We start from the raw sequence: 21975 nt of genomic DNA, 5'->3' as shown, positions 1-21975 counted from the left end.
AACCATGAGGACAGCTAAGACATGTGGCAGTGGACAGAGTAAAGACATGAAGAGAACCTGAGTCCTTAATGGTATCACAGAGTTGCTAACTTAACCAGTCTGGACACCATCTACCTCTCCTTATCTTGTTATGAGATCTACTAAATTGTCTTTACTGTTTAATCCAGTTCAGTTGAAAATATCCTAATTTAATCAGTATGCCAGGCACTTTCAATTTTTGTGCCTTTGGATAGACTGGTGTCCTTTGACTAGAATGCCTTTATTGTGCTTAATGCACGAACTCCTATGCATCCATCAGAACCCCTCTCCATTGTCATCTTGCCTGTAGAACCGTATTTTCTTCCTTTGGGGGTTTAATTACTGCCTCCTTTGTAACTCCTATGTGCACCTGTGACACTAGAAATTGGCTTTTTCTAGTTTTCTTTTTTCCCTTTTTCCTACTTCAAGAGAGCAACCAAGTCACTGCAATCTGAAGGCTGGGGTTTATCTTGTCCCAAGGACAATTAACTGGCTTAAAAAAAGTTTTTATGGAGGAAATTTTGAACATATACAAAAGTAAAGAGAATAGTAAAATGACTATTGGATCTATCACCCAGCCTTAATAATGATCAATATTTTGTCAGTCTTATTTCCTCTATCCCCACACTTTAAAAAAAAATATAGAGTATTTTAAAGCATATCTTAGGCTTCATATAATTTCACCTATTAATACTTCAGAATACATTTTTAAATAATAAGTTGAGGTTAAAAACAAACCTTGATGATTGGAGCTTTTGCTTTTTAAGGCTTAACGTAATGGTTTATTAACGTATTTAAAAAATATTTACAAGCTCCCACTGGGTGCCAGGCCCTTTCTTGGCTCTGCTGGTATTGTGGCAAACAAGGAAGAGAAAACCCACATTTTCTTGGAGCTATACAAGGAAACACACTATGAACAAGATAATTTCAGAGAGTGATCAACAAAATGAGGAAATAAGACAGGGTCAGTCATGTGCCCATGACTGGGGCACGGAGGATATTTGTCTTTCTGTGCTTGGCTTATTTCACTTAGCGTAATGTCCTCCAGTTACTTGCTTCTTCCGTGCTAAAAAGTACCTGCTTCCAAGGGCCCTGGGAAGGAAGAAATGGTTGAACAGATCTGGAGTACTGGTTACGGATCCAGGCACCCAGTAAGAGCTACATGTGGGAAGGAAAAAGCAAAACCTTTCTGAGGAGGCAACTTTTGAGCTGAAACCTGAATGAGGAGAAGGAATAGCTCTTTGAAGATCTGCAAAGAGCCTTGGAGTAGCGAAACGCAGGAGAAAAGGCCCTGAGGCAGAGCTGAAGAGACCAGAATGAGAAGAACCAAGCCACAGTTTTTTTTTTTTCCTTTTTTCCACAGGTTCTAAAAAGCCACAGTTGTTTTTGTTTTTGTTTTTGTTTGAGGAAGGGTCTCACTCAGTTGCCTGCGCTGGAGTGCAATGGCACGAACTTGGCTCAATGCAACCTCTGCCTCCCGGGTTCAAGCGATTCTCCTGCCTTAGCCTCCTGAGTAGCTGGGATTACAGGCACACACCATCACACCCAGCTAATTTTTCATAGTTTTAGTAGAGATGCGGTTTCACTACGTTGGCCAGGCTGGTCTTGAACTCCTGCTCTCAAGTGATCTGCCTGCCTCAGTCTCCCAAAGTGCTGGGATTGCAGGCATGAGCCACCACGCCCGGCCCAAGCCACAGTTTTATATGACTGAAAGTCAACACAGTCTTAAAGATGACTGAAGTTAATTATTGTGAATTGTCTGTCTCAGGGTTTTGTTCATAGAGTTGTCATTTTCGAAGATTAAAATGATACATAATGTATAAATAATTGAGTATTTATTCTATTAAATTTATTTTTCTTGCTATCTTGTCAGAAACATTATTATGTTAAGTCAAGTTATTCACCTAATTTGTGTCCTATTGACAGTAATGATCATAGAGTTAAAAATTATATTTAAAGTACGTAAAATGTGAATCTATTTTCATTAAGTGTAATTAAAGTAAATGTGAAATATTAAAATTTAAAAGTTGTTTATTTGTTTTCCCAAAAGTTATTTCTCTTCTAAAATATGCAAAATTAGCTGGGCTACAAAAACAACTTAAAATATGCAAAATTATTAAAATTAAAAGGCAAATAGAATTATAATAAATGAATGTTAAATTTCAAAATTAAAGTTTAAAAAACAAATCTGAATTTATTTTTTGAAAGTTTAATTAAATATCATTAGTGCTTTTTCTTTTTGCTTTTGAGACAGGGTCTTGCTCTGTCACCCAGGCTGGGGTGCAGTGGTACAAACACAGTTCGCTGCAGCCTCAAACTCGTCGACTCAAGAGATCCTCCTGCCTCAGCCTCCCAAGTAGCTGAGACCACAGGTACATGCCACCACATTCAGCTAATTTTTAATTTTTTTGTAGAGATAGGGTCTCTCTGTGTTGCTGAGGCTGGCCTCAAACTCCTGGCCCCAAGCGATCCTCCTGCCTTGGCCTCCCAAAGAGCTGGGATTACAAGCATGAGTTACTGCACCTGGCCTTCCTTTCTCTTTTTTTAGAGAACGGAATCTCACTAAATTGCTCAGTCTGGAGTGCAGTGGCTATTTATAGGCACAATCATAGCACACTGCTGCTTCTAAGTCCTGGATTCAGGGGATCCTCTCGCCTCAGCCTCCTGTGAGTAGCTGGGACTATGGGCATGCACCACTGCACCCAGCTAAATAGTTTTAGAAACCTAAAACCATTTGCAATTATACTTGCAATGCCAGTGCCCATCTAGCTGCCAATGTAAATAACCGGTATCACGTTTCACTCACATTATATCTAGACGAACTGGTACGCAAAGTTAAGAGTAATAACATTCTCAATATTGCAAAATATTCCTCAGTTACCATGTGTAATGCTTGTGAGTATAGAGCTAATTTGTGAGTACTTCTGGAACCACAAATTGGAATATAGAGAGCAGTGAGAATTGTACTTCTGACACAACTGGGGAAAATGCTTCATTGTGCAAGAGTCTACTCGAAGAACAGAAAACCAAATACCACATGTCCGCACTTACACTGAGCACACATGGTCACAAAGAAGAGAACAACAGGCTGGGCATGGTGGCTCACACCTGTAATCCCAGCACTTTGGGAGACTGAGGTGGGTGGATCACCTGAGGCCAGGAGTTTGAGACCAGCCTGGCCAACATGGTGAAACCCCCATCTCTACTAAAAATACAAAAAAATTAGCCAGGCATGGTGGCCTGCACCTGTAGTCTCAGCTACTCGGGAGGCTGAGGCAGGAGAATTGCTGAAACCCGGGATGCGGAGGTTGCACTCCAGCCTGGGTGACAGAGTGAGACTTCGTCTCAAAAAAATAAATAAATAAAATAAAAAGAAAAGAAAAAAGAAAAAATAAGAGAACAATAGATATTGGGGCCTATTTGAGGGTGGAGGGTGGGAGGAGGGTGAGGATTGAAAAATTACCAATGGATATTATTATGCTGATTACCTGGGTGACAAAATTACCTGTACACCAAACCGCTGTGACATGCAATTTACTTGTGTAACAAATGTGCACCTGTACCCCTTGAACCTAAAAATGAAAGTTGGAAAGAAATAAACTTATTGCGTTTATTCTTTCTGAAGGGATGGATTTGGCAAATTTTTAATTCATATGTCTTCTCTCTTATCCAAGTGATTCCACCACTCAAATCCTCCCCATACCCTAAAACAGTGTCTGTCTTGAATGTAAGCAATGGCACAACCAACTGAAAGGCATTTGAATGCAGTCATCTTTTCCTTTTCTTTCTTTCTTTCTTTTTTTTTTTTTTTTGTTGTTGTTTTTTAGAGACAGGGTCTCACTCTGTTCCCCAGTCTGGAGTGTAGTGGCACAATCATGGCTTGCTGGGACATCAACCTCCTGGACTCAAGCAAGCCCCCCACCTCAGCCCCCCTCGTAGCTGGGACTACATGTGTGCACCACCACACCTGGCTAGTTTTTGTATTTTCGTAGAGATGGGGATTCACCATGTTGCCCAGGCTGGTCTCAAACTCCTGGGCTCAAGCCATCTGCCTGCCTCGATCTCCCAAAGTACCAGGATTACAGGTGTGAGCCACCATCCCCAACCTTGTCTTTAGAGATGTAGATAAGCATTTCCCTGGGGCCTGAATGGGGTTGGTCCTGAGAGTGGATATTTAGGGTTATGGGTTGAATGGTGCCAGTGCTGAGCACCAGATCACAAATGACAGAAGTGGCTTTACATAAATTTCACATATGTGTTTGTGAGATATGGAGCCCTCTAGAGCAGGAGCCAAGAGCAAGGGTCCCTCTCTCCTTGTTCTAAGGAGGTACTGCCATGTAGGAGTACCAGGCAAAGGCTGGAAGGAAGGAAGGCAGCCCAGAGTCTAGTGTAAGGAGCAGCGATTAGTCCACAACCTCAGATCTGGGGTACAGGAAGGCCGTATGTAGCAGAAGTCACTGCTCCTGGGAAACCCTCAAAGACCAGCAGGTGTCATTGAGGCATGTTTTCCTCATGAGTACTAATCCTACCATTGGGAGATTTCAACACAGTAAACACACACATTTCAACATAATTTGGGAGCAACTGAATGCTGGCGTTGTCAACGGTTTGTTAATCAATCGACTAATTAAGCAAGCACGTATGCAGTGCCTCTATGCGCACTATTCGCACTATGTAGGGCCTGGAAGGGAGCATTGCACAAGGTTAGGGAGTTCCTTGTTCATAGTCCTGCAGGCAAGGCACACAACAAATCCAGTGGGTAGACTTCCCAGGAAGAGCAGTTTGAGTCATATAGGAATGGATGGTTCTTCTGAAATCTCATCCACAGCAAATGTGGAGTAGGAGGCTGAGTTCCCCAGTGGATATCTCTCTCAGGACAGCTTCCTGAATCAGGGAGGGAATTAACTCTCCAGCCAGATTGATTTATGTTCTCAAGTTAATATTGCTAAATGGCATCCCCAGAGACAGTCTGCTGGAATTTCATTTGTATTGCTAATCAAGGGACTGTCTGGTGTACTACTTAATAACAAGCTCCACTCTGATAATTTCTGACCTCAAGATGGATGTTTTAGGCCCAGTTGATGCCCAGAAAATTACTTTCCTGATCCTCAAGTCCAATCCTTACAAATAACTGGGATGAGGAGAATGGAGGCAGAATGGCTCAAAGAAAAGAGCAGGGACTTTAGAGTCAGGCAGACCTGGAAGTGCTGGGCTTCTAGGCTGTGTGACCTTGAACAAGGCACTTCTATTCTCTGAGCTTCAGTTTCCTCATCTGTAAAATGGGGACCTTGGCATCTGTATCAGGCCATTCTTGCATTGCTATAAATACCTGAGACTGGTAATCTATAAAGAAAAGAGGTTTACTTGGCTCACAGTTCTGCAGGCTTTATAGGAAGCAGGTGCTGGTACCTGCTTAGCTTCTAGGGAAGCCTCAGGAAGCTTACAATCATGGAGAAGGCAAAGGGGGAGCAGGCACGTCACATGGTAAAAGCAGGAGAGATAGAGAGAGAGAGAGAGTGTGTTGGGGGCAGGGGGGGGTGCCACCCACTTTTAAATGACCAGATCTTTATCTGGTCACTATTATGAAGACAGCACCAACCCATGATGCATGTGCCTCCATGATCCAAACACCTCCCACCAGGCCCCACCTCCAGGATTGAGGATTACAATTCAACATGAGATTTGGGTAGGGACAAATATCCAGACTAAATCAGCATCTATTTCACTGGGTCAGTGAAAGGACTAAAGGCAACAATGCATTGTAAAGACCCAACATGAGGCAGGCAAAAACAGATGTTTCAGCCTGGCGTGCTGGCTCACACTTGTGATCGCAGCACTTTGAGAGGCCAAGGCAGGCGGATCATCTGAGGTAAGGAGTTTGAGACCAGTCTGGCCATTATGGTGAAACCTTGTCTCTACTAAAAATACAAAAATTAGCCGGGCGTAGTGGCAGGTGCCTATAATTCCAGCGAGTCGGGAGGCTGAGGTGGAAGAATCTCTTGAACCCGGGAGGCAGAGGTTGCAGTGAGCTGAGAGCACGCCATTGCACTCCATCCTGGGTGACAGAGTAAGACTCTGTTTCAAAACAAAACACCCCCCATCCCCCCCCCCCACACAAATGTTATTTTGTTCTTTCCTTCTGGCACAAAATGACAAAAAGAGTTAGGCTTTCTAAATAGGTTGGGTTTCTTGCTAGAGGTAATGCCTGGAATGTTAGTTAGAAAGGCAGGGATTCTTGAGACAGATTTGTTAAAAATAAATGAGGCCGGGCGTGGTGGCTCATGCCTGTAATCCCAGCACTTTGGGAGGCCGAGGCGGGAGGATCATGAGGTCAGGAGATCGAGGCCATCCTGGCTAACACGGTGAAACCCCGTCTCTACTAAAAATACAAAAAAACAATTAGCTGGGCGTGGTGGCAGGCACCTGTAGTCCCAGCTACTCGGGAGTCTGAGGCAGGAGAATTGCTTGAACCCGGGAGACAGAGCTTGCAGTGAGCCGAGATTGCACCACTGCACTCCAGCCTGGGTGACAGAGCGAGACTCCGTCTCAAAAAAAAAAAAAAAAAAACAGTCCTGTTTTATTTTAATTACAAAGGTAATACTGGGTGGGCACAGTGGCTCACTCCTGCAATACCAGTGCTTTGAGAGGTTGAGGTGGGAGGATCGCTTGAGGCCAGAAGTTACAGACCAGCCTGGGCAACATAGCAAGACCTTGTCTCTACAAAATAAATAAATAAAATTAGCAGGGTGTGGTGGTGTGCACCTGTAGTCTCAGCTACTAAGGAGGCTGAGGTGGGAGGATCACTTGAGCCCAGGAGTCGAAGGCCGCAGTGAGCTATGATGGCCCACTGCACTTCAGTCTGGGTGACACCCTGTCTCTAAGAAAAGAAAAAAAAATCTAATACTGAATTTCAGTCAGTATGGTGGACTGAATTGGTGACAAAATATCCTTTCTTTAGGTTTATACTCACAAAAATGTTTGGAAATATTACAAATGTTACTTGCAAAGTCATTTCCACCTCCTACCTGTCCTTTCTTTACACTGGGAGGGCTCACCCCCTCTATAGAGATGGGAAAATGCCAGGACTCACTTTCCCAGCACCTCTTGGGATCCCATCTGGAGGGGATGTAGGCAGCTTCCCCCATTCTGGCCATTGAGACCTCACGGAAAGTTTGCAAAGGGACTTCTGGGAAAAGTTTCCCTCAGTAATAAAAGAGATACATGGGAAGAAATGCCCCCCTCCTTTTCCCTCAGGTTGGCCATATCTGCCACAGCCATCTTGTGACCACGATGAAGAATATTGCAGGTAGACTGCAGAGTGAAAGATGGAAAGTTCTTGGGTCCTTGAGGTCATGATTGAGTCACAAAGTTAACCTGAGAATCCTAAATCTTTGCTACACGTACAGATACAAGGACAGTCAGAATCCATTACCCCACATTAGGATAAGCATCCCAAGTGAAGAAATAATCTTAAAAGATGTTCTAGAATTGGTGATACCCATCAGGTCCTGATAGATAAATTGTGAAATATCTCTGCAGAATATTTCTATAATCCAGGGCACATAGATTCCTGTGGGAAGGAGGCTTTGCTGAAGATAATCTTACAGTCAAAATTATTAAGCACACAAGGAAAGGAATGATTATTGGGGACATTCTACAAATGTCACAGATGAGCACATTTTTATCCCAACAACTAGAAATTTAAAATCTGAGAGAGGCTTTATAAATATGTTTAGAATGTTCAAAGAGCTAAAGGAGGTCAGGCGTGCTGGCTCACACCTATAATCCCAGCACTTTGGGAGGCTGAGGCAGGTGGATCACGTAAGGTCAGGAGTTGGAGACCAGCCTAGCCAACATGGTGAAATCCTGTCTCTACTAAAAATACAAAAAATTAGCCGGGCGTGTTGGCAGGCACCTGTAGTCCCAGCTACTCGGGAGGCTGAGGCAGGAGAATCGTTTGAACCTGGGAGGCGGAGGTTGCAGTGAGCCAAGATTTTGCCACTGTACTCCAGCCTGGGTGACAAGAGCAAGGCTCTGTCTCGAAAAAAAAAAAAAAATTAAATTAAGAGCTAAAGAAGACATAGAAATCATGGGCTAAAACAGAATGACATGAAAGAAAAACAGGTGGGAGAGACAACCAAATACAGTTAACCCACGAACAGTGCAGGGGTTGGGGCATTGACATAGCAACACAGTCAAAAATCTGCCTATAACTTTTTTTTTTTTTTTAAGAGACAGGGCCTCACTCTGTCACCCAGGCTAGAGTGTAGTGACATCATCATAGTTCTCTGCAGCCTTGAACTCCTGAGCTTAATAGACCCTCCTGCACCAGCCTCCTGAGTAGCTACGACTACAGGTGCACACCACCATGCCCAGCGAATTATTTTTAAAAGTCTTTTGTAGAGATGGGGGGTCTCACTATGTTGTCCAGGCTGGTCTTAAACTCCTGGCCTCAAGCGAATCTCCCATCTCAGCTTTCCAAAGCACTGGGATTATAGGCATGAGCCACTGTGCCCAGGCTGTTATGCTTATTATGTACTGTATTCTTACAATAAAGTAAGCTAGAGAAGAGAAAATGTTATTAAGAAAATCATAAGGAAGAGAAAATATATTTACTATTCATTAAGTGGAAGTGGATCATTGATATGGTTTGGCTGTGCCCCCACCCAAATCTCATGTTGAATTGTAGCTCCCATAATTCCCACGTGTTGTGGGAGGGACCCGGTGGGAGATAATTGAATCATGGGGTCAGTTTCCCCCATACTGTTCTCATGGTAGTGAATACGTCTCACAGGATCTGATGATTTTATAAGGGGAAACTCCTTTAGCTTGGCTCTCATTCTCTCTTGTCTGCCGCCATGTAAGACATGCCTTTCGCCTTCTGCCATGATTGTGAGGCCTCCCCAGCCACATGGAACTGTGAGTCTATTAAACCTCTTTTTCTTTTATTTTCTTTTTTTTTTTTTTGAGATGGAGTCTAGCTCTGTCGCCCAGGCTGGAGTGCAGTGGCACAATCTCGGCTCACTGCAACCTCCACCTCCTGGCTTCAAGCGATTCCTGGTTTAGCCTCCCGAGTAGCTGGGATTACAGGCGCCCACAACCATGCCCAGCTATTTTTTTTTTTTTTGTATTTTTAGTAGAGGCAGGGATTCACTGTGTTGGCCAGGCTGGTCTTGAACTCCTGACCTCATGATCCGCCCACCTTAGCCTCCCAAAGTGCTGAGATTACAAGCGTCAGCCACCATGCCCGGCCTTTTTTTTTTTTTTTTTTTTTTTTGAGACAGAGTCTCACTCTGTCACCCAGGCTGGAGTGCAATGGCGTGGTCTCGGCTCACTGCAACCTCCTGGGTTCAAGTGATTCTCCCACCTCAGCCTCCCGAGTAGCTGGGACTACAGGTGCATGCCACCACACGCTGCTAATTTTTGTATTTTTGGTAGAGATAGGGTTTCACTATGTTGGCCAGGCTAGTCTTGAACTCCTGACCTCGTGATCTACCTGCCTTGGCCTCCCAAAGTGCTGGGATTACAGGCGTGAGCCACTGCGCCTGGCCTAAACCTCTTTTTCTTTATAAATTACCCCAGTCCTGGCTGGGCGCGGTGGCTCACACCCATAATCCCAGCACTTTGGGAGGCTGAGGCGGGTGGATCACGAGGTCAGGAGTTCAAGACCAGCCTGGCCAAGATGGTGAAACCTCGTGTCTACTAAAAATACAAAAATTAGCCGAGCATGGAGGCAGGCGCCTGTAATCCCAACTACTCAGGAGGCTGAGGCAGAGAATTTCTTGAACCCCAGAGGCAGAGGTTGCAGTGAACCGAGATCCTGCCACTGCACTCCAGCCTGGGCAACAGAGTGATACCCCATCTCTAAATAAATAAATAACTCAGTCCTGGCTATGTCTTTACCAGCAGTGTGAAAACGGACTAATACAATCATCATAAAGATCTTCATCCTTTTTTTTTTTTTGAGACAGAGTCTCGCTCTGTCCCCCAGGCTGGAGTGCAGTGGCGCCATCTCGGCTCACTGCAAGCTCCGCCTCCCAGGTTAAAGCCATTCTCCTGCCTCAGCCTCCCGAGTAACTGGGATTACAGGCAGCTGCCAACATGCCCTGCTAATTCTTCGTATTTTTAGTAGAGAAGGGGTTTAGCTGTGTTAGCCAGGATGGTCTAGATCTCCTGACCTCGTGATCTGCCCGCCTCGGCCTCCCAAAGTGCTGAGATTACAGGCGTGAGCCACCGCACCCAGCCTCATCCTTGTTGTTTTTTTATTGAGAAGGCTAAGGAGGAGGAGGAAGAAGAAGGATTGGTCTTGATGTCTCAGAAGTGGCAGAGGCAGAAGAAAATCCACATATAAGTGGACTCACACAGTTCAAATTTGTCTTGTTCAAAGGTCAACTGTAGAAATTCTACAAGTGAAAAAATGTAATCACTGAAGTAAAATTTCATTGACCTAGGCATGATGCTGTACACTTGTAGTCCCAGCCACTCAGGAGGCTGAGGGAGGAGGATCACTGGAGCCCAGGAGTTTGAGGCAACAGTGTGTTATGATTGTGTCTGTGAATAGCCACTGCACTCCAGACTGGGCAACACAGTGAGACCCCGTCTTTATAATAAAATAAATAAATAAAATAATTAACATACCCGGACATGGTGGTGCATGCCTGTAATCCCAGCACTTTGGGAGGCTGAGGCGGGTGGGTCACCTGAGGTCAGGAGTTTGAGACCAGCCTTGCTGACATGTTGAAACCCTGTCTCTACTAAAAATACAAAAATTAATCGGGCATGGTAGCACATGCCTGTAATTCCAGATATTTGGGAGGCTGAGGCAGGAGAATGGCTTGAATCTGGGAGGGGGAGGTTGTAGTGAGCTGAGATTGCACCATTGTACTGCAGCCTGGGTGACAGAGCGAAACTCTTGTCTCAAAAAAAAAAGTCAATAGAACAATGAAAACAAAAGTTCACCGAATGAGTTATACAGACTAAATGTAGCTGATGAAGGCCAAGCATGGTGGCTCACGCCTGTAATCCCAGCACTTTGGGAGGCTGAGGTGGGAGAATCACTTGCGCCCATGATTTTGAGACTAGCCTGGGCCACAGAGTGAGATCTCATCTCTATTTTTATTTTATGTATGTATGTATGTATTTATTTATTTTTTGAGATGGCGTCTCACTCTGTTGCCCAGGTTGGAGTGCAGTGGCAAGATCTCGGCTCACTGCAATCTCTGCCTCCTGGGTTCAAGTGATTCTCCTGCCTTAGTCTCCCGAGTAGCTGGGATTACAGGCATATACCACCATATCTGGCCAATTGTTTTTTCTTTTTTTTTTTTAAAGACGGAGTTTCGCTCTTGTTGCCCAGGCTGGAGTGCAATGGCATGATCTCGGCTCACTGCGACCTCTGCCTCCTGGGTTCAAGCGATTCTCCTGTCTCAGGCTCCCGAGTAGTTGGGATTACAGGCATGCACCACCACACACAGCTAATTTTGCATTTTTAGTAGAGATGGGGTTTCTCCATGTTGGTTGGGCTGGTCTCAAACTCCCAACCTCAGGTGATCCACCTGCCTCAGCCTCCCAAAGTACTGGGATTACAGGCGTGAGCCACTGCGCTCAGCATTTTTTTTGGTATTTTTAGTAGAGACAGGGTCTCACCATGTCGGCCAGCCTGGTCTAACTCCTGACCTCAGGTGATCTGCCTGTCTCGGCCTCCCAAAATGCTGGGATTACCGGCATGAGCCACTGCTCCTGGCCCCATCTCTATATTTAAAAATAAATTTTAAGAACTATAGGTAAAGGAAACAATAATCAATTTGAAGATGGGTCTGAACGAATTATCTAGAATGTAGCCTAGAGAGATATAGAACAGAGTTAGTAGTTAGGAGATGTGAAGAACTGAATAAGAAGGTCCATTATGCATATAATAGGAGCTCTAGAAGGAAAGAATAAAAAGAATGAGGGAGGAGAAGAAGCCAAGAGGGTTAACTATTTAAAGGTCCTTGCTGAAAGACATACTTCAAAATTAAGAAAGAAGAAAATTTAAACCCAAGTGATGAGTAGAATATGAGAATAAAAAATTAATAAATATTTTGTAAATCTAGCCAGGTGTGGTGGCTCATGTCTGTAATACCAGTGCTTTGGAAGGCCATGGCAGGAGGATCGCTTGAGCCCAGGAGTTTGAGACCAGCCTGGCCAACATAGCAAGACCCCATCCCTGAAAAAAATACATTTTAACTTATAGAATTCAGCCCTGGCAACATAGTGAGAGCTTGTCACTACTAAAAATTATAAAAATTAGCTAGGCAGGCATGGTGGTACATGCCTGTAGTCCAAGCTACTCAGGAGGCTGAGGTGGGAGGATCGCTTGGCCCTGGGAGGTTTAGGCTTCAGTGAGCAGACACAAATGCCATAAGTTGTATGACATAATTTATAAGAAATATCTAGAATACGTAAATCCATAGAAACAGAAAGAAAATTTTTAAGTTGCTAATCCTGGGGGGAGAAAGAAATGAGGATTGACTGTTTAATAGGTATGGGTTTTTGGGAGGGTGGTGATGAAAATACTTTGGAACTAGATTTAGGTGGTGGTTGCACATTTTGTATGTGATTGAAATTGCATGTGCAATGACTATGACAGTGAGAGAAGCCTAGCATGGCTAACTCCATCTCACGTCTAGCCTCACAGGATTTGTGACTTCCCCAGTTGTGCTTATAGATAACATCACTATTATAGAACCTAAGATTGGTCTTTTGAGATGTTTTTCAGATTTTTATATTCTGGCAACTAACTGACCCCATCTAGACCTGTGACTCATGACTCAGTTGGTCCTATGGACCCACCCACCAGAGGCAGACTCAGCACATGGGGACTGTTTTCCACATCCCTATGATTTTATCCCCAACCAGTCAGCAGCACCCATTCCCTAGCCCCCGCCTGCCAAATTATCCATAAAAATCCTAGCTTCTGAGTTCTCTGGAAGACTGATTTGAGTGATAACTTTAGTCCTTTTGCTCAGCTGTCTTGCATTAATTAATCTCTTTCTCTACTGCAATACCAGGGTCTCAGTGAATTGGTTTTGTCTGTGCAGCAGGCAGGAAGAAATCATTGGGCGATTACATGCTGAATACCCCTGAATTGTACACTTTAAATTGTTGATTTTGCTATGTGATATAATCTAAATTTTTTAAAAGATAAAGAACCAAAAAGGGGACACCCCTACACATCCTAAAAGCATTAAAAGGAAAATAAGGGAATATTACCAAGAAACATATGGCTGTAAACTTGACAACTTAGATAAAGCAGACAAATTCCTTAAAAGACACAAACTGCCAAGCTCATTTAAGAAGAGATAACCTGAATTGTCCAATATCTGTAAAAGAAATTGGATTTTTTGTTGTTGAGATGGAGGTCTCACTCTGTCTCCCAGGCTGGAGTGCAGAGGCTTACTGCAGTCTCAACCTCCCTGGGCTGAGATGATCCTCCCACCTCAGCCTCCTGAGTAGCTGGGATTACAGGCATGTGCCATCATACCTGGCTAATTTTTGTGTTTTTTGTAGAGATGGGCTTTCCCCATGTTGCCCAGGCTGATCTTGAATTACTGGGCTCAAGTGATCCACCTGCCTCAGCCTCCCAAAGTGCTTGTATTACAGGCATAAGTTACTGTGCCCAGCCAGAAATTGGATTTCTAGTTTTAAAAATTCTAACTAAATAGGGTTGGGCGTGGTGGCTCACGCCTGTAATCCCAGCACTTTGGGAGGCCAAAGTGGGCAGATCACGAGGTCAGGAGATCGAGACCATCCTGGCTAACACGGTGAAACTCCATTTCTACTAAAAATAGAAAAAATTAGGTGGGCGTGGTGGCAGGCGCCTGTAGTCCTAGCTATTCGGGAGGCTGAGGCAGGAGAATGGCATGAACCCGGGAGGCGGAGCTTGCAGTGAGCCGAGATTGCGCCACTGCACTCCAGCCTGGGGGACAGAGCGAGAATCCATCTCAAAAAAAAAAAAATTCAAACAAAATAAACTGCAGGGCTAGATAGCTTCACTGCTAAATTGGTTCAGATATTTGTTTATTTCCTTTTACTATTTTTTTGCACCATAAAAAAAAAAACCAACAACCAGTCACATACTTCTTTTCCTCACATTCATATGGGTTTTAGAAAATTATTGCCTTTTCCCCTGCAGAAATAACCCACAGACAAAAAAAAAAAAGTAGTACCACATTGCAAAATCTACAAATCCCAGAAATGAGTAGTTTGAAGACAACCCTCAGGGTCAGGGAGGGAAACAACTGTAGTAAGAGACCAAGCATATAGGACAGCAAGCTGAGGAAACCATTGTGTTCAACACCACTGACCTAGAACACACAGCAGGTACCCCCTCCCTCCTGGCACCCACTGCCGCCGCCTGAAAGGTATAAGTTTTTTGTTTATGATCTGAAAAACACTTTTCCCAAAGAGTTGCTTCATTTGAGAAAAGGGGTAAAGAGAAGAGAAGAGGTGTAATGAGACGTGTTGTAAAGTATGAATAAGAATCATGCCAGGCCGGGCATGGTGGCTCATGCCTGTAATCCCAGCACTTTGGGAGGCCGAGGCGGGCGGATCACCTGAGGTTGGGAGTTTGAAACCAGCCTGACCAACATGGAGAATCCCCGTCTCTACTAAAAATACAAAATTAGTGGGCTTGGTGGTGCATGCCTGTAGTCCCAGCTACTCGAGAGGCTGGGAGAATCGCTTGAACCCGGGAGGTGGAGGTTGTGGTGAGCCGAGATTGCACCATTGCACTCCAGCCTGGGCAACAAGAGCGAAACTCCGTCTCAAAATAAATAAATAAATAAATAAAGAATCATGCCAAACTCAAAGGTCAGGGAATAACCCATGATGAAAAAGAAACCCAGGAAAGCCAACGCCTTGCTACTTTAACCAACTGCCTCCATTGGACCCAAGAAAGAATCTTAAAAACATGTCAGGGTTTAAATCAGTGCATATATCATGCCCCTACAAACCCTGCAGGGTTACCTTCCTGGCTACATGGTGATCAGCTTATGCCCTGAAGCAACAGAGACAGACAGTGAGACTGCCAAAGTTCAGAAAAGAAGGTGGAAATTGTGCTTCCTTCCAAATGAATTGGTTTCCCAACTGCCTTTTCTCCTTGTCCAGCAACTTATTTCTCCCATGCTGCTGCAGGGTATTTATTGCCTTACGCTTTAAATGAAAAGGCGAACTTTGAGGTGCAAGGACTGGGCAGTCCTGAGAGGGCAGGGGGTCTGGATGCACAGTAGTCAGCACATGCTGTGCTCCCATAATGGCTTGGCCCTCCTTTGGTGTTTTGAGAACCTACCCTGAGGTCAGCCTGAAGTTCATTTGCAAGCCTGGTGAGCACTCACTATCTCACTGGGGCAGTGTGACAGAGTGAGGTCTTCAGTATTGCACTGGGATGAAGTGTCCACGAGTCTTAGAAACAAAAGTCACAGTTGCTCTTGGGGTTGGGCTGGTTCCTCCATCCCAGTTTTAGCAGGATGTGGCTGTGGCCACAGGGATCCTGCTGAACTCTTAGACTGTCCGGTGGGTGGGCACCAGTGCCAGCACCGGGGAAGGGAATGTGCAGTAGGCATCCTGCAGGCCTGGGCTCAGTATCTGCAAATGACCTTCAGTGAAGAGCCTGCTGCCTCGCTTGGCAAGAGGGAGGCTGGGGGTGGGCGTGGAGGGTGGGATCTCAGATTCCTTCTGTAGGAGCTGGTCCATGAAGCCAAAATTGGACCAGATCATGCTCCTCCTCTGCTTGATGTAATTGAAGGTCTCCTTCAGGCAGAGCTGTCTGGTCTTCATGGGGGAAGACTTGCAGCTGGTGGGTGAATGGGAGATTCCAGCCTCACAGTGGACCAGGACCTTGCCTCCTTTTCCCCTGACACAGCCAATGAAGTCCATTGCATATATATATATATATATATATATATTTTTTTTTTTTTTTTTTTTTTTTTTTTTTTTTTTTTTTTGAGACGGAGTTTTACTCTTGTTCCCCAGGCTGGAGTGCAGTGCCGTGATTGCAGTCTCTGCCTCCCGGGTTCAAGTGATTCTTGTGCCTCAGCCTCCCCAGTAGCTGGGATTACAGGCACTCACCACCACAGCTGGCTAATTTTTGTACTTTTGTAGAGATGAGGTTTCACTACTTGGCCAGGCTGGTCTCGAACTCTTGACCTCAAGTGATCAGCCCGGCTCGGACTCCCAAACTGCTGGGATTATAGGCATGAGCCATGGTGCCCGGCCTGTCTATTCTTGAAAGTGGGAGTTAGTGTCAGCCATATGGCTGTCTTCCATGGGGATCCATTTGTAGTGAAGATGGGTCCTTTGGGTCTTGGAGGTTGGCCTGGAGACCTGTGATATGCAGGTTGGGGAGGAACTCTCCCTTGGATGCATGGTTGACCCTGCCAAAGTAGAGGGAGGGAAAATTTCAACTGGGCCACCCTGGTCATAAGCTGGCCCATAGCTGATGTACAGCACTGGTTTTCCAGACTGGCTGATGAGGGTCACTTCTTTCCTTCTTTTTTGAGACAATGTCTCACTCTGTTGCCCAGGCTGGAGTGCAGTGGCCCGATCATGGCTTCCTGCAGCCTTGAACCCCTGGGCTCAAGTGATGTCCCCGTTTCAACCTCCCGAGTAGCTGGGCCCACCAGCGCACTCTACCACACCTGGCTAAATTTTCTATTTTTTGTAGAGACAGGATCTCTCTATGTTGCCCGGGTTGGTTTCAAACTCCTGGGCTCAAGCTATCCTCCCTCCTCAGCCTCCCAAAGTGCTGGGATCACAGGCGTGAGCCAACGCGCTGGGCCGGCTCTCCTACTTCCTTTTTTTTTGAGACTGAGTCTGGCTCTCTCATCCAGGCTGGAGCGCAATGGTGCAATCTCGGCTCACTGCAACCCGCGCCTCCAGGGTTGAAGCGATTCTTCTGCCTCAGCCTCCTGAGTAGCTGGGATTACAGGCACCCTCCACCACGCCCGGCTAATTTTTGTAGTTTTAGTAGAGAGGGGGTTTCACCACGTTGGCCAGGCTGGTCTCGACCTCTGACCTCAGGTGATCCGCCCGCCTCGGCCTCTCAAAGTGCTGAGATTACAGGTCTGAGCCAATGTGCCAGGCCGGCTCTCCCACTGTCGATCTTGTGGAATAGTTTTACTTCCACGCAGCACTCGGGATATTCTGAGTAGAAGGTCCCCCTTTGAGGAAGGAGACCCGCGGGCCACGGGCAGGCTGGCAGGCAGGCGAGCAGGAGTCGAGTATGGGGCTCGCAGCTTGGGCGGGTGGCGACTGCCCTAGCCTAGATCCATCGCGGCCGCCGCCGCTGCCGCCCTTCTGCCGCAGCCCGGCGCTTTGCCCCGGGCCCGCCGTGGCGCCACCGAGTCGAAGGTGACGTTGAGCGCGCCGCGCACTCTCGGGCGGCGAAGGGCAGGCAGGTCGGGCGGGCAGTGGAGCACGCCGCCGCCTCCTTGCCAGGCATCTAGCCAGCTGGCGCCCGTCGGGCACGTGACCTTCATTCCACCGCCCAGCGCCCCAGCGCCCCCGCCCCCCGGCCCCAACAGAAGCCCTGATTCACATATTTAGAGAAGAAATAATCTCAATCCTACACCAACTCTCCCAGAACATGAAGGAGGAGGGATACTTCCCAACTCATTTTAATTTATATTTGACTTACCCTGATGCTAAAGCCAGTCTAAGACATTACAAGGTGGGTGGAGAGAGAACCTATAGAACAATATATCCTTTATTAACCAATATCCTTCATATCACAAAGTGAATTTAGCAATATATAAGAACCGTAGGCCCTGCAGTGGCTCACACCTGTAGTCCCAACACTTTGGGAGGCCCCAGGTGGGAGGATTGCTTGAGCCTGGGATTTTGAGACCAATAATAAAGAGGATAATAATTCTTAACTTGTTCCTGCTGCTACAACAAAATATCATTGAAACTGAAACCACCTTTGCAAAATTATGACTGAGACAGTGAAAGAGATCTAACTTAACTGACTCCATCTTGCTGCTAACCTCCAAGCTGTCCGTGTTCATTCCTGGACGTAGGCTGAACTAACTTTGGGAGAAACTTTTTTTTTTTTTTTTTTTTGAGACGGATCGTTGCTCGCTCTGTCGCCCAGGCTGGAGTGCAGTGGCGCGATCTCGGCTCACTGCAAGCTCCGCCTCCCGGGTTTACGCCATTCTCCTGCCTCAGCCTCCCGAGGCAGGAGACTAGAGTAGCTGGGACTACAGGCGCCCGCCACCAAGCCCGGCTAATTTTTTGTGTTTCTAGTAGAGACGGGATTTCACCATGGTCTGGATCTCCTGACCTCGTGATCCGCCCGCCTCGGCCTCCCAAAGTGCTGAGATTACAGGCGTGAGCCACCGCGCCTGCCCAGGAGAAACTTAAGTTTATAGTTTGTAGTTTAAACAAAGATGGTAACAGCCTTTTCCCAAAGCAGACCTCCTTCTCGCCTGGAGACTATATTGCCTTTGTAGGACTAACAGTAGCCACAAGATTGGAAATTATGGTTTAAGGGTCATGCAGCTGGAGGTTATAAGATTCTGACCCTCCCTGAACTGCTCCTAAGATCAGTGCTTGATTTTGCAGAGCCTGCACATGATGGATCAGCTGGCCCCACCCAGATCAATGAACTGGCTCATCTGATCTCGTGCCCCTCCTCCCCAACCCAGTAACTGACTGCGTAAGAAGACGGCTTCTACTCCCTATGATTTCATCTCTGACCAATCAGCACTCCTGATTGGCTTCCCCTCTTCCACCAAGTTATCCTTAAAAATTCTGCTCCCTGAATGCTCAAATGCTCAGAGAGGCTGATTTGAGTAATAATAAAACTCTGGTCTCCCACACAGCCGGCTCTGAGTGAATTAGTCTTTCTCTATTGCAATTGCCCTGTCTTGACGAATCTGCTCTGTCTAGGCAGCGGGCAAGGTCAGGTCAACCCCTTGGGCGGTTACAAAACCGCCTTTGCAAAAATTATAACTGAGGAAATTATGGCAGTGAAAGAGATCAGATCTAACTGACTCCATCTTGCTTCTGACCTTCAAGCTGTCCTTGTACATTCTTGGGTGGATGCCAAACTAACTTTGGGAAGGAATTCAGTTCATGATTTGACTCTGAAACAAAATTGGTAATAGCCCTTTCCCAAAAAGACACAGAGAAATTTAATATAGCAGGCTCCAACTTCCTTGTAAACTCATAAGCTAACTGCCCTTGCCAATTCCTGGGCAGGAACTCCTGGGAGGAATTTAGTTAATAATTTAACCTTAAAGCAAGGATGATAGCAGTCCCTTCCCAAATTACCCTCTCCTTGTTTGGGTACTGACATTGCCTTTGTAAAACTTATGAAAGGCCATAAGATTAGAATTATAGGTGGGTCCTGAATTCTGCGACGACCTATGCAGAGTTTAATAATAACTAGCCATTGTTTTCTAATTTGCTTACTGCTCAGAATTCATACAGCTAGTGGTCACGAGATTTATAATTTCTCTAGTTGCCCCTATAGGTAACATCACTATTGTAAAACCTAACATTGGTATTTGTGATATTTTTCAGGCATTGCATTCTGGTGGAACAACTGATGCCACCCAGACTTGTGACCCCCACCCAGGAACTGACAGAGGCACAGAGACAGTTTTGATAACCCTGTGGTTTCATCCCTGACCAAACCAATCAGTATTTCCCATTCCCTAGCTCCCTGCCTGCCAAACTATCCTTAAAACCCTAGCCTCCGCATTCTCTGGGAGGCAGATTTGAGAATTGTCTCATCTTCTCGCTTGGCTGGCCTTGCAATTAAACATGTTCTTTGCTGCAAAACCTGCTGTTCTCAGTGCATTGGCTTTTCTGGGCAGTGGGCAAGAAGAACCTCTTGGGCTGTTACAAAACCATATGATGATCTCAAAAAATGCACCCACAAGAAAGGCATTTGAAAAGAAAGTCTAGGTCAGGCGCAGTGGCTCACACCTGTAATCCCAGCACTTCGGGAGGCTGAGGTGGGTGGATCACGAGGTCAAGAGATCGAGACCATACTGGCCAACTTGGTGAAACCCCGTCTCTACTAAAAATACAAAAAAAAAATAGCCAGGTATGGTGGCGAGCACCTGTAATCCCAGCTACTCAGGAGGCTGAGGCAGGAGAATCACTTGAACCCGGGAGGTGGAGGTTGCAGTGAGCCGAGATTGCGCCACTGCACTCCAGCCTGGTGACGGAGCGAGACTCCGTCTAAAAAAGAAAAAGAAAAGAAAAGGAAGTCTAACATCATTTATGATAAAAACTGTCAGTATACTAGTAACAGAAGAGAATATCCTCAACCTGATAATTGATATCAGTAAAATACCTACATCTAATATCATATTTAATGGTAAGAGACTCAGTGCTTTTCCACTGAGAAAGAGAACAAGGTAAGGATATCTGTCCTTGTCACTCCTATTCAACATTGTAATGGAACATTACATTAAGATTATAAAAAAGCATATAGATTGAAAAGGAAGAAATAAAACTATACTAACAGATTACATAATCGTCTATATAGAAAATCTCAAAGAATCTACAAAAATGTCCTACTATAAGTAATAAGCAACTTAGCAAGGTCACAGGATATGTGGTCAATAAAAAACCAATTTTAATTCTGTACAGTGAAAATTGGGGCAAGGAGTGGTGGCTCACGCCTGCAATCCCAGCACTTTGGGAGGCCAAGACAGGCAGATCATGAGGTCAGGAGATGGAGACCATCTTGGCTAACATGGTGAAACCCTGTCTCTACTAAAAATACAAAAAAATTAGCTGGGCGTGGTGGTGGGCGCCTGTAGTCCCAGCTACTAGGGAGGCTGAGGCAGGAGAATGGTGTGAACCTGGGAAGCAGAGTTTGCAGTGAGCTGAGGTCACGCCACTGCACTCCAGCCTGGGCAACAGAGTGAGACTGTCTCAAAAAAAAAAAAAAAAAAAAAAAGAAAAGAAAAAGAAAGTTGGAACTTGAAATGTTAAAAACCGTCTGGGTATGGTGGCTCATGCCTGTAGTCCTAGCACTTTGGGAGGCCGAGGTGGGTGGATCATGAGGTTGGGAGTTCGAGACCAGCCTGGCCAACATGGTGAAACCTTGTCTCTACTAAACATACAAAAAAATTAGCTGGGTATAGTGGCGTGAGCCTGTAGTTCCAGCTACTCGGGAGGCTGAGGCAGGAGAATCACTTGAACCTGGGAGGTGGAAGTCACAGTGAGCAGAGATCGCAGTGAGCCGAGATCGTGCCACTGCACTCCAGCCTGGGCAACAGAGCAAGACTCTGTCTCAAAAAAAAAAAAAAAAAAAGACGAAGAAATGTAAAAATCATTGTGGCCAGGCGCAGTGGCTCACGCCTGTAATCCCAATCCCAGCATTTTGGGAGGCCGAGGTGGGTGGATCACGAGGTCGGGAGATCGAGACCATCCTGGCTAACACGGTGAACCCCATCTCTACTAAAAATACAAAAAATTAGCCGGACATGGTGGCGGGCGCCTGTAGTCCCAGCTATTCGGGAGGCTGAGGCAGGAGAATGGCATGAACCCGGGAGGTGGAGTGTGCCACTGCACTCCAGCCTGGGCAACAGAGCGAGACTCTGTCTCAAAAACAAAAACAAAAACAAAAAACAAACAAACAAAAAAACCATTGTAATGTGAAGTACCATTGAAATGTAAAGTACCATTGCCAGTTGCAGTGGCTCATGCCTGTAATCCTGGCACTTTGGGAGGCTGAGGTGGGTGGATTGCTTGACCCTAGGAGTTCAAGACCAGCCTGGGCAACATGGGAAAACTCAGTCTCTACAGAAAAAAATACAAAAAATATCTGGGTGTGGTGGTGCATGCCTGTAGTCCTAGCTACTTGGAGGCTTAGCTGGGAGGACCACTTGAGCCCCAGGAGGTTGAGGCTGCAGTGAGCTGTGATGGTGCTGTTGCTGGGCTTTTCCTTAGTTCAGCTAA

At 45.8% G+C, this 21975-nt stretch overlaps 1 long non-coding RNA gene and 1 pseudogene across 1 annotated transcript; one reads left to right on the top strand and one right to left on the bottom strand.

The window, feature by feature from the left end:
• Positions 15334 to 16552, bottom strand: DUSP5P2 (dual specificity phosphatase 5 pseudogene 2; annotated as a pseudogene).
• On the top strand, positions 17555 to 19821 carry LOC105376949 (uncharacterized). Its single transcript, XR_940586.1, has 3 exons — positions 17555 to 17722; positions 18616 to 18709; positions 19579 to 19821. It is a non-coding gene; the product is annotated as an uncharacterized LOC105376949 (long non-coding RNA).
• Positions 19822 to 21975: the final 2154 nt, after the last annotated feature.

Source organism: Homo sapiens, chromosome 3 (genome assembly GCF_000001405.40).
Source record: "Homo sapiens chromosome 3, GRCh38.p14 Primary Assembly".
Classification (NCBI taxonomy): domain Eukaryota; kingdom Metazoa; phylum Chordata; class Mammalia; order Primates; family Hominidae; genus Homo; species Homo sapiens.
Note: the sequence above shows the minus strand (reverse complement) of the source record. Positions and strands in the feature narration are given on the sequence as shown.